Source organism: Homo sapiens, chromosome 3 (genome assembly GCF_000001405.40).
Source record: "Homo sapiens chromosome 3, GRCh38.p14 Primary Assembly".
Taxonomy (NCBI): domain Eukaryota; kingdom Metazoa; phylum Chordata; class Mammalia; order Primates; family Hominidae; genus Homo; species Homo sapiens.
The window spans coordinates 43,201,159-43,214,104 of record NC_000003.12 but is presented as its reverse complement, the minus strand read 5'-3'; positions in this window follow the sequence as shown (position 1 = coordinate 43,214,104).

Genomic DNA, 12,946 nt, shown 5'->3' with positions numbered 1-12,946 from the left:
GAGTTAATAAGTTTTAATATTTAAGCAGTTTTTGATACATATTGTTGAATTGCTTTCCAGAAAGGATGTCCCATTTATTTTACTAATGGTAGTGTTGAAGGAACCCATCTCACAGCCTCCTGGCTGGCATTGAGTATTCTCCGGAAAAAAAAGCACTGCTAATTTGACAGGTGAAAAAGAGTAGCTCTTTGTTGCATTGTTGATTACTAGTGAGGCTAAAAATTCCAGCATAATTATTAACCATCAGTAACAGGATGACTCAGATGGACATTTGGGTCAGGCCCTGGCTAATAAATAGCTTTGAATGATTGAATTATCAAAGGTGGCCATGCTGCAGGTTTGAATAGAATTGCTAAGTCTAGATGCTAAGGACTGGAATGGTTCAAGTGTTGACTTTATGGGCAGGAGTTTATTCCCAGTCCTGCCTTGCTCAATGGAAAGTACTTTCAGATGGACAAAATTCTGATGTAGAAGTGAGACAGGACTGAGAAGGGGATGCTGGGCTTTGGAGTTGGCCAATCAGTCAGTAAGAGCCCCCGTCAAAAGAGGAGCTGGGAAAAAAGCCCCTGGTCAGCTCTTTGGGGACCGGGGCTGCCAGTGGTAGCACCTCCAGAGTTCGTGGAGGTCCATGGGGAACCATCAGGTGTATTTGGACCTACAGGCAAGTCTGTTCTCAGGGAGGATGTGGGAATGTGAACTCAAGTTTTCCCACCTGGTGATGTTGTGAAATGACTCAGCCACCAAGCTGGTTGAACTAGACTAGCCCCTGCCACACTCCTGTGTTTCTGTTCCTCTAGGCATGGCTGACACCCCCTCTCTCCTTCCCCATGACTCCTCAACTCCAAACCAGAGTTCGCTTGCAATCGCTTATTCCCCTGCGTTGTCACTTTTTTCATTCACAAGTTACACTCCTCCTCTTGATACAAGCTACTTGAGAGTGGAGATAGGATTTTATTATCTCTGTGTCTTCAACAGATATGAGTGTGAGAATGAATGAATGACACAGTAGCATCTAGAGTACACCAAGAGTAAACGAGGGCCTCAGCATCTAGTTGGGAGAAACAGCCAAAGTTTATTCTTTATCAATCTGTTTCACCACAGAGTTTTGCTGGATGGAAAAGTTACACCTCAGATATCAGGTTCTGTGGTTGGTCAGGTATTTGGCAGACAGTGCATCACGCATCCTGGTGCCCTGAAGAGTTTTTCTGTTTTTGCCCTGCTTTGACTTTGCACTGAGAGCCAAGTCTCATCAAAAGGAGGATTTTGTTTTAACCACCTGCCCAGCTTTCTTCTAACGCAGTGGTCCTCAAACTTTCTTGAGAATCAGAATCACCTGGAGGGCTTGTTAAGATACAGAGAGCTGAGTTCAAACCCCTAAGTTTCTAATTTTATCATTTCTAACAAGTTCCCACTTGGTGCTGTGGCTGCTGGCCTGGGACCACAGTTTGAAAACCACTGGTCCAAATGTTTTCATCTGGCCCTGAACAAGGTGCCAGACTGACCTTCCAAATCCAAGAAAATAGGTATATAGAATATTCGGCCACTGTGCCAGGGCCCAGCTCTGCTCATCCCCATGTCAGGACTGGGCTATCTTTTCTTGGCAGGAAGGCATAAGTAGACTGGGCCATCCAAGCCTGAGTTAGACGGCCTTCAGGGCCTGCAAATCACTGTTGCAGGGTCTGAAACCTTATCAGGGTATTCAGTAGCTTCCCATAGAAGCACATAAAGTTGAAGGAAGATAGAATTTTATATCCTGAGAAAAATCCAAGCTCTAGGACCCCAACTTTGTATATAAGGCAGTGGCCAGGTGTCTCACCTGACCCCTTCCAGAGCTCATTCAAGAGATGGCCCAGCTCATGGTAGTCCATGAGGGCCTCTGTGTCCTCTCCATTCTGCCCAGTCTGTGACCTCGATCTTCATAGAAGAAGCTGAGAACCTAGGCTAAGACTTGCTTTCCACCAGCATCATCATCACACGTTAAATAAAATCTGAACTCCTTACCATGCCCTGAGGGTGCCTGGTGCTCTGACCATCCCTGCTCTCCAACTGGTCAACTTCACTGCTGTCCCTCAAAAACCAGGCTTGTCCCATCTTGGAGCACCGCAGCTGCTCCGCCTAAAAGCTGGAACCCCACATGGGACACTAGGCTGGCTGTTCAGGCATCTCCTCTCCAGAAAGAGCTTCAGTTCACCCTCCATAAAGCAGCCCCGCCTTCCACCTGTACCTTCTGTCCCTAGCTTCCCAGTACTTGTCACCATCTGCTACATGCTTACTAATCTGTTTACTTGTTTATGATCTGCCTGCCTGTCCCCTCCAGAATGTGAGCCCCACGAAGGCAGGAACCTTGTCTGCCTTCCTCAGCTGTGGCCCCAGCATCTCGAACATGCCTGGCACATTGCACATGTTCCATTAAGATTTATAGAATACACTTGTAGGCTCTGCCAGATATACCATGGAAGGCAGGGTCTGAAATGCTTAAATAACATACCCCAGATCTTGACTCGGAAATCCAGGATCAGGCTCCAGGTTCACTTCCTAACAACTTGTTCAGATGGGAAGAGCCAGGGTCATAGGTGAGGCTTCTGTCCCCACACCTGTTGCTCTGGACGGGCCCCTCAACTTGTGTTGGCCTGACCTGCCTCACCTGCCAACGGGTTGGATAACATTTGTGTTGCCCATCCCCAAGGCTATGTCAAGGCCCAAAGGCAGTAGCTGCTGGGAAAGTGCTCTGCTAGGAAAAAGCTGTGGGGCAAATTTGAGTTTTGGGCTGCTTGTACATCTCCATGGCTTTAAAATCTGCACATGGCATTTAATTTTAGACGAATTCTCCATTCTTGTTGTGGTTTAAAAAGCAAAGTGTTGTTTAACTTCTTCATAAGCTTAAGGCAAGTTCATGACAGACTAAAAATCTAAGGAGTTACATTGGAAAAAGGAATTCTAGAATTTGAGGCTCTGCCAAGGGATTCTTTCCTTGGTCATTTTTTTGCCTTCATTTCCTGCCCCATGAACACACTTCCCAGGGACAGTTAGGGGAAGACCTTAAAAAGCAATTTTATTTGACATCAGATCAATAGCTTGCTTAGGGAGATCCGAACTCCCTATCCAGCCTGATATGAAGTCCTCTTTAGCTATCTGGCCTCCCACTTCTGACCTGAGCAGGGAATTAAAGGAGAAAAGTCCTTGTGGTGAAGTCCTTGGGGTAGGCTTGCCAGAGCTAGCAAATAAAAATACACGGTGCCCAGTTACATTTGAATTTCAGATAAGCAACAAAAAAAGTTTCACTGTAAGTATGTCCCATGAGATGTTTGGGACATACTCATACTAAAAAAAGAGTATGTGTTATTTATCTGCAGTCCAGATTTAACTGTGTGGCCCCTATTTAATCCAGCAGCCGTAGTCTTGGGCACACCCTCCTATCTGCCAGTCTGTGGCCCTAGGAGGAACAGGAAGACTACCTGCACTTTTCCTAACCTGTTTTACCCTACAAATGAGAATGTTTTGCTATTAGTCTCCACTCACTCCAGCCCCTTCTCACTCTCTCCTGGTCCTGGCATGTGGGTCATGGGCAATAGATGGACGTGACCTTAAGTAACCCGCCTGCCAGGGCTGCTGCTGAAATGCTGCCCTTGGAATCAGCAGGGTACTTACCAAAGTGTGATGCCAGCAAAATGCTCAGTTCATAAGACAAACCAGGGCAGGAATGTGTTATAGCTGTGGGAGCATTTGATTCTTAGATAAAGGGCCTAGGATACCCAGAACGCTCCCTTGAATGCGGAGCAAAACTTCTGGGTCAACTTATTTATTTTGGTATTACTAAATACCACTTTGATTACTAATAATACCTTGCACTCATGTTGTGCTTTTCATCCAGGGATCTCTAGGTGCTTTATTAACATTTGGCAGCATAGCCTTAGAACCTTTGGATTACATAATTGTACAGAGAGTTTTGGTTTTTTTTCTGAGATCGAAGGCTTGGCCCTTCATGGAAGAGACCTAGACAGAAGTTAGAAATATTTAAGTCCAAACCTGACCTGGGTGATAGACATTTGGGTACATATTCCCCACCCCACCTTTTTGGAGTGCTAGCCTCTCAAGTATAAGATTAGTACTGGCTTCCCCACACTTGACCATGTTTTTTTTTTTAGAAACCCTCAGTATTTAGCACAATAACTGGAACATGACCAGTGCTGAGTATATGTTTGCTTAAATCAATGGATGAGTGATGAACAAATAGATGGACCTGGAAGAAAACTCTGGGTTCCTTCTTTCCTTTATATTCTTGTGGGTGGAGTGTGAGGCAGGATGCTGTCAGCCCCATGTCCCTATATCCTCAGATCCTTTCGCCCCTTCTGGGCACATCAGCTCCCCTGTGCCTCCTCCCCAGCTGCACCTGCCTTTCTTTGTTGGAGGATGGCCAGCAGCTACCAGAACCCCTTTGCCTGCATGCACCATGGGATGCAGACCTGAACCAATGGCTGGGGGATGCAGGGACAGAAATTCTCCCTCATCCCTGATGGGGACACTTGGGTGTGCCCTCTGAGAGATTGTGCCAACATCATCCTTCAGGGGACTCAGCTTGGCATCATAACCTTTGTTTGTTTTCCTACCCTTCTCAGTCCCCTTTCCCCACTCTACTTAGGATTTCCTTGAGAATACGTCCTAGTGAGTCACCTGCACCAGAATCTTCTCTCAGGGTCTGCTTCTCGGAACCTAGCTTGATTGAAATGGGGGCATTTGGATGTGTGTGTGCGTGTGTGTGTGTGTGCGTGTGTGTGTGTTTGAGATGAAGTTTCATTTTGTTGCCCAGGCCGGAGTGCGGTGGTGCAATCTTAGCTCACTGCCGCCTCCATTTCCCGCTCCCGGGTTCAAGCGATTCTCCTGCTTCAGCCTCCCGAGTTGCTGGGATTACAGGTGCCCACCACCACGCCCAGCTAATTTTTGTATTTTTAGTAGAGATGGGGGTTCACCATGTTGGCCAGGCTGGTCTTGAACTCCTGGCCTCAAGTGATCTCCACCTGCCTTGGACTTTCCAAGTGCTGGGATTACAGGTGTGAGCTACCGCACCTGGCCAAAATGGGTGCATTTGGATTTCTTGACCATGGCTCATATTTCCAATCATGCTGACTCTTTTTCCTGCAAGAGGAAGGACCTTCCAATGGAAAACAACAACAACCAATCTTACTATTGGGTGAGAAGCAATAGAAGACAAGGAACAATCAGGACTTTATATATCTACCAGGACAATTCTATAGAGTTTCAAAATGGAATTTTCTTCAGCAAAGACAGCACAGCCATGGATGGCTGTCAAGTAAGCTTCAAATTCTTATGCACACAAGCCAGCAGCCCTTCTTACAGGCTCCCCTCGAAGGGGTGGGAGAGCCTTAAGAAACCTCCCTGCAAGGACCAGAAGTCAATGGGGATGATTGAGAGATGGAGGGAGGGCTCTTTGATGGGAGGCCAGGCAGGACCTGGATCAGAGTGTTTTTTTTGCTTCCTCTTATTCAGATCAGGGAGCTTGGTAGCAAAATGGTGGGGGCGGGACACTGAGTCAATGGCAATGGCCCGTCACTATGTTTCCTGGGAAGACTTTAAACATTTGTTTAAATTCAATTCAACTTTTTTCATTTTATTTTTAGTTGACACCCAATAATTTTACACATTTATGGGATACAGAATGGTATTTCAATGCAGGTACACACCATATAATGATCACATCACAGTAATTAGCATATCCACCACCTCAAACATTTTAAAGAGTAATTTCTGCATTCCCTGGGTCTTTCTGGTCCCAAGACTTCCGATTTGTAGAGACCGAGTTCAGTTGTTTGGAGGGGCTGTTTCCCTGTCTCCATCCAGGGGTTTTAGGAAGACAAGATGGAATGGCATTTAATAACTTTTCTGACAGTACTAAAAGGGTGATGGCAGGGTTAGGTGTCCCTGAGCTCCCTGAGATTTTATTGGTTTGTAATATTTTAAGGGGCCCCAGTGATCCTTCTATAACCTACTTCAGAGGAAAACATGTATTATTAACACTGGTTTAACACTTAACTTTCTAGGGTATTTGTGGATGACACAGTCATACATCTGCCTTTTTATAGTGCTTTGCGGCAGAGCACAAGACCTTCTGGCTGACACCTCATAGATCATCAAAATTAAGGCCTCTAGGCAAGCAGAAGAAAGTAGGGTGGGGGTGGGGAGGGGACAGCAACTGGGGATGACTCAAAAGGTTTCCAAGTTAACTTTCCTTTAGAGATAGACCATTTTCATTACAGAGTAAATTATTCTTAACATTAAGATGTCCTTGTTTCCGTGGCAACCCACAACAATTTGAAAGTAATGGTTCTCGGTGGCCATACAGTAAAGTGATATTTCCTACCTGATTGGTGGCAGGCAATGATTAACTCAGAGTTGGGATCAGCCAGCCAGGGGTCAACCTCCAACTGTTTTGCATTCAACACCTCAGCCCTTCTGTGTTAAAGCCAGAAGAAATCTGGAACTCTGAGATCCAGGACTAAAGTAGGTTCTCTATCTCCAACATAAATTGTATCATTATAGTATACGAATTTTTACTGGAGACTTAAAATATTTTATTATCAGGAAACTATGACCCAAGGAAGAAAAATGTCTAAGTTTTGACTGAACTTCCCCTCTTGGTTCAGGGTTGGCTGGCAGTTTGGGATCTCCTTTGTCTGTCAATAAAAAGACAGGTAAGAGACCATATTATGTGGTTTTGGATACTCTTACGCCCGTGAGCCTCCTTCCCTCAAAGTGGCCAAATGTGACATTTGGGGAACGCCTTATTTTCCACTGCTCTTTAGCCAATCATGTCTCCAGAGCTTTATCTGGGCCACAAAACCCACTTTGTAGCAAAGGACCCAAGGGAGTAGCCATGTTTTTGTCCCCATGCACTGGGACCAGCAATATTTTTGAGAGAAAAAAAGAACCATCATAAAGAAAATTCTCTGAGAAGAGGATTAAGGGCCCCAAAACAGCCATTGGGGCAATTCTTGCTGGAGATGACATAAAACTTTGCATCTTTTCACAACGATGCGGCTGCTGTTTGCTCTGGGCTGTCAGGAATCAACAGTGTGTTATATGAAATGTAAAACCCATCCATCTGCTGGGATCCTTTTCCTTTTCTTCTTTTGTCAACGGTGTGACATTAGCAACACCATATGACATTTGCGTCATGCATCAAGTACACGCCTGTTGGTTTCCAAATGATTTGTCCAGAGAGAAGTAGAGCATTACGACCCAAAAAAGGCGGGCGAGGAGAAGGAGCTCTGCCCCCTGCTGTTGCTGATCAATAAAGCTCCCCTAAAGGCACTGTACCACGGAAGCTGGAGAAAAGCAGAAAAAGCCTTCTGTGCTCTGGGAAAAGGAAAAACAACCATGGGGAGAAGCTGCAATTGCTGCTATCGGAATGATAAAAACAACGGCCTGAAGCCATTGCCTGCCTTCATGGCCGTCCTTTCCTCGTGTCCAGGCATCCAATCTGGAGTAGTCACTACCGACTCATGTCATATTTTTTGTTCTTAAATCCTAAATGATGAGATATTTCAGTCTTCTGTCTCAGTTGTATGTGTGTAGGGGGGGATATTTATGAGGAACAACAAAACCCCTTTAAACTGTTGTTTTGATCCACCATGGCACAGAAGTCTTTCTGGTAGGTGAGACGGGGGTGTCTGCCCATAACCTTCATGCTGAGGAAGACACAGCTCCTATTTAACATTACCCATGTTTGCATGGCTAATCAGAGGGCGTGCACTGCCAGTGAGTCCATCATAAACGTGACTGAATAGGACTGGATTGTTTGGTGATGGATAATAAACTGTTCAGGGTCGATGTAAAATGCGTGGATCCATTCCTTTCCTGGGAGCCTTGCATCAAGTGCTTATCTGCTGTCGTAGTCTCCTCCTCTGTGCCCTCTCCAAGCCCTCCAATCCCTTCCGTGGCCCTCCTTCCTCCCTGCCTCCCTTTCTGTCTCCTGCCTGCACAAGTGCCAATACAGAACCTTCACTTCCCTCCGCCCCCATCATCCTTTCTCCCTGCTGACGTAGGCAGGCCAGTGTCCAGGATGAAGAAGTCTTTTCTTTTGACCCCGTGAAGGTGATGGGCAATGCCTCTGCAGGCCAGTGGGTGGGGAATGCTTTTGAGTTGTGCTGACAGAGAAACATGGGAGGAAGAGGCTTCATTGGACCCCTGCCTTCCCTCCCTCATCTAATTTGGACCCAACCAACTCCAAGGCCTCCTAGTATGAGATTCATCCCTCATCATTGTCTTTATTATTATTATTTTTTTGAGACAGGCTGTCACTCTGTTGCCCAGGCTGGAGTGCAGTGGCACAATCTTGGCTCACTGCAACCTCTGCCTCCTGGGCTCAAGCAATTCTCCCACCTCAGCCTCCTGAGTAGCTGGAACTACAGGCACCCACCACCATGCCTGGCTAAATTCTTTTTATTTTTATTTTTATTTTTTGTAGAAACGGAGAAACGGGGTTTCACCATGTTGCTCAGGCTGGTCTTGAACTCCTCAGCCTCCCAAAGTGCTGGGATTACTGGTGTGAGCCACCACTCCCGGCCCTTCATCATTGACGTTTAAGGTGTCTCTAAGCCCCTTGACCTAGGCTTGAGCAAAGTCACCACTTTAAAGAAGTAAAGTTATTGATCCCCATGATGAGGAAAAGGCATCCCAGGCTCTGATGTGTAGACCTAACCACAGGCACAAGGGGAAAGAGAAATGTGTGACACCCTCTCCCCGCCAAGTCTTTCTTCGATTTCCCCTGAGAAGCAGTTTAGCATAGTGGTTAGGGCCATGGCCTTTGGGGCCAGACTACTTGGGTCTGTGTCTTGGCCCTGCCAGTGGCGTGTTCTGTGACCCCGGGCAAGACATTTAATCTCCCAGTACCTCAAGTTTCATATCTGAAAAATGGGGTAGTAACTTACCTGCTGTATTGGGTTGTCAGGAAGATTCAATGAATAATACATACAAAGTACTTAAACTAGTGCTTGGTTATTGTAGACGCTACTTAAGTATTAGCTCTCATATTCTACCACCCAGACGGGGCCTAATTCATGAACACAGGGCCCTGGCTCAGAAGGGCTCCATATTTGGCTTACTGCTTTGCTGTCATCATCTTGAAATTCTTAATAATTTTATCTTTGAACTTATGTTTTACAAGTGAAGTCAATAAGACAATAAAGCATGCACATGAACAGAGATGTGCAAGCTTTATTTGTGTATAGCATTTTTGATGATGCCACATGAGCACAGAATTCCAGGGGATCCACAATGCAAGGGAGTTCAGTGAAACTCAAAATGAGTACAAGGGAACCATGTTACCCTATAACTGACAGCTGCGGGTAACCCAGAGAGGCCATGCTTTCCATCCAACCAGAACTTGCCTTGAATGCAGAAAGAGGACAGTGGGGTTCTAAGAACAGCCATGGAGCCCTATCATGTTCTTATTTATGTTACTTCCCTGTATTAACCAGCCACTTACACTGAAAATGATGGCAGAAGAAAAGGGAAAAAATAGGGCAAACACAGTTCCTTTTCCTTTCAGTCTTTCCTTACTCACCGGTAAGATAAAGGTGGAGAGAGTTGGTAGAATGTACATGTATCAGGAAAGGAAATAAGAACAGTTAGTTTTATGCAGCATTTCCATTGTCCTTGTAGGAAGGAGACATGTAAGCAAATATGAGCTGTAAGATACAAATTGTGGGCCTAGAGTGGTGGCTTACATCTGTAATCCCAGCACTTTGGGAGGCCGAGGTGGGGAGATCATGAAGTCAAGAGATCAAGACCATCCTGGCCAACATGGTGAAACCCCGTCTCTACTAAAAATACAAAAATTAGCTGGGCGTGGTGGCGCGCACCTGTAATCCCAGCTACTCAGGAGGCTGAGGCAGGAGAATTGCTTGAACCCAGGAGGTGGAGGTTGCAGTGAGCCAATTGCACCACTGCACTCCAGCCTGGGCAACAGAGTGAGACTCCGTCTCAAAAAAAAAAAAAAAAAAAACAGATTGTGCCATTTTGGTGTATCTGAGTTACATACTCTTATACATGCATTTAAAACTGGCATTGCATAATATAAACTAATGGTAGAATTCATGCAAATAATTTATTTATACTAAGAACAACATTACATAACAGATTTTTAAAAATGTCATGACATCAGAGAGAGATCACAGAAGAAAGACAAAAGCTTTACATTTTAGTGCTTTTAACAACACTTTCCCCCCCTTTTTTGAGCAAGGGTCCTACTTTTTTATTTTGTACTGGGCCTTGCCAATTATGTAGCAAGCCCTGCTCGCAGGCTAACTCCCTTCATGCCACTTCTCTTGAGCCTCTTGTTCAGCCTTGTTTCTCTTACAGCTTGGGCAGGGTCTGGGAGGCAGAAAGAGAATTGTTGAGGTATTTTTCAGCTGGGGTTTGACTTCCAAGGGGAAGTCAGGACTCTTTCCCCAAATAGTTTTTTGAGGCCTCATGGTGACCTGTGAACCGTACCACCCCTAGCTGAGAAAATGACAGTAGTACTCACTCTTCAGCAACCAAAATCTCTAGTTCAGTGTTTGCCGGATGTCAGGCCTGAAAGGAAATTTCAGCCAGAGGAGGAAAGGAGGAATGATAGCGAAGACCCACATTTTGCGAGGGGTCACTGCCAGCCAGAACTCAGACCTGAGGACCAGCTTGGTGCCTTGTTTAGAATGGCAAGAGTGGAGCAGGGTTGTCATTTCTCTTCCTGGGATCAAAATCAGACAAATCTCCTATTTGGCTTACCAGGCAATAAGTGGATAACGCCAGTGAATGTCAGTGCAAATTACAGCTCTGGCCTCCTGTCGTCAGCTTTGTGCTGCTTCTTGTCACTTTAATGCAAAGAGACAGCATGGAGCTGATAACAAACCAGAAGGGTGGGGGATCGGAGGGGGTAGCTGTGTCAGGGACAAGAAATACATGTCAGAGAGAATGATTCAAGACAGTAAAAACCCACACTGATGCTTTTTCTTGTTTGCCTGTTTAAGGGGTTGGGTGCAGACAATACCTCTTGAATATCCAAAACTAAGCAGCTACCTCATCTATTCATCCACCCAAGCATCCACCCACCCACCCATCCTCCTCTGTAAATGAGGGCTGGACTGAGCCTCTTGGTACACTGGAATTCTTTTTTTTTTTTTTTTTTTTTTTTTCCAGACAGAATCTTGCTCTGTCGCCCAGGCTGGAGTGCAGTGGCATGATCTTGGCTCACTACAACCTCCACCTCCTGAGTTCAAGCAATTCTTGCACCTCAGCTTCCCAAGTAGCTGGGATTACAGGCATGTGCCACCACACCTGGCCAATTTTTGTATTTTTTAGTAGAGATAGGGTTTCACCGTGTTGCCCAGGCAGGTCTCAAACTCCTGCCTCAAGTGATCCAACCACCTCAGCCTCCCAAAGTGCTGGGATTACAGGCATGACCCACCATGCCCGGCTTGTACACTGGAATTCTGAGGGACTCCTGCATCCACCATCTGTTGAGCACAGCCACTTTGCCACTGTTGAATTTAAGTAGAGGTTTGAAAAACTCTTAGGAGGAAACATTTCTCTTCCTAGCAAAAAACAAGAGCTTTGGGGAATTTTCGTCAAAATCAGCCCAATGACTGCTCAAAAGCTTTGGTTTTACTCTATTAAATTACATTTTTCTTAAACTGCTGGGCGAATGTTACTGTCTCAGAGACCCCCTCAACTGACAGATAAGATCTCCCTTCTAGCCACCTGAAGAAAGAGCGAGTCTTGCATTTTACATGCCAAGATTTGAGTGTGTCCATCTGTCTTGGAGCCTGCAAGGGTCAGCTTACAAAAATATGCAGCCTCACTCTATCTTCCACCCACGTTACAAGTTTGAGGAACGGGTACAGTCAAGGCAACAAGAATCCAGGTCTTTCTATAGTTGTGCTTGCTAGCAAATTAGTGTCTGAGAATTTGGAAACAGTACCAAGAGGATAACTATAAGGAGACATACCTTATATATCTTCTTAGGTTCCCTCTATGGCTTCGTACCCTCTTCTGGATAGTGCCCATTCACTCCCGGATGCCCTCCACTTTTGGACTGGGTGAAACACCTCACCATGGGGCATGGGATCTGGTTTCTTGGGCAGTCATCAGGGACTGGATAATGCAAGGTTAGTAACTATTCAGGAAGTGGACATTGACCTAGGAGATAGAAGACAGATGGGCGCAGGGCAGATAACTTCCCCCATCCTACTCTGTCTTGTGGGTGCCTCTGCATCATTAATCCTTCCTGCAGCCTTTTCAGAGAACTCTTTATACTAAGTAAACATGCAACCTGGTGTCCCATCCAAGCTTATGGTGGGTGAAATAGGTCATCACAGTAGTGCATTGCATTACTTCTCATGACTTCTCTTCCCTCATTTTCTGCCCCCTCATCTCCATTGCTCTGGGCTTGCAACTTCTAAGCAAATTAGAACCTCAATCCTTGCTCAGTTTCTGCTTTCTGAAGGACCTAGACCAAGGCAGGAAATAATATTTGTTCAGCACCTGCCAAGTGCCCACAGGTGCTTGTGATATATTCAAACTGATTATGGAACTTGGAAAGCTCATTCAGAAGAGCAAGAAACATGTCCCCAGGGCACCTAGGAAATCAGCAGCAGAATGGGAGTAGAATTGTTAAAACAGGACTGAAACATGGCTGATGAGAAAAAGAAGGAAAAGAGGGAGGAGCAGAATGGAGATTGGGTGTCATCAGGTCTTTGGGTGCCAAATGAACAAAGAGGGCTTTTGTATTGAGACTTTCAGGTTAAATCCCAGGCATCCAAGTTGGTGACCAAGTTAGGAAAGATTTCTGTTTTGGGGATTCAGCTTATACAACACTTTTGTGTTTTCTTTGTGGCAGAAGTTTTTAAAGAATGAGGAAGGGTAAGCTTTCAGTACCGGTATATTAGTTATC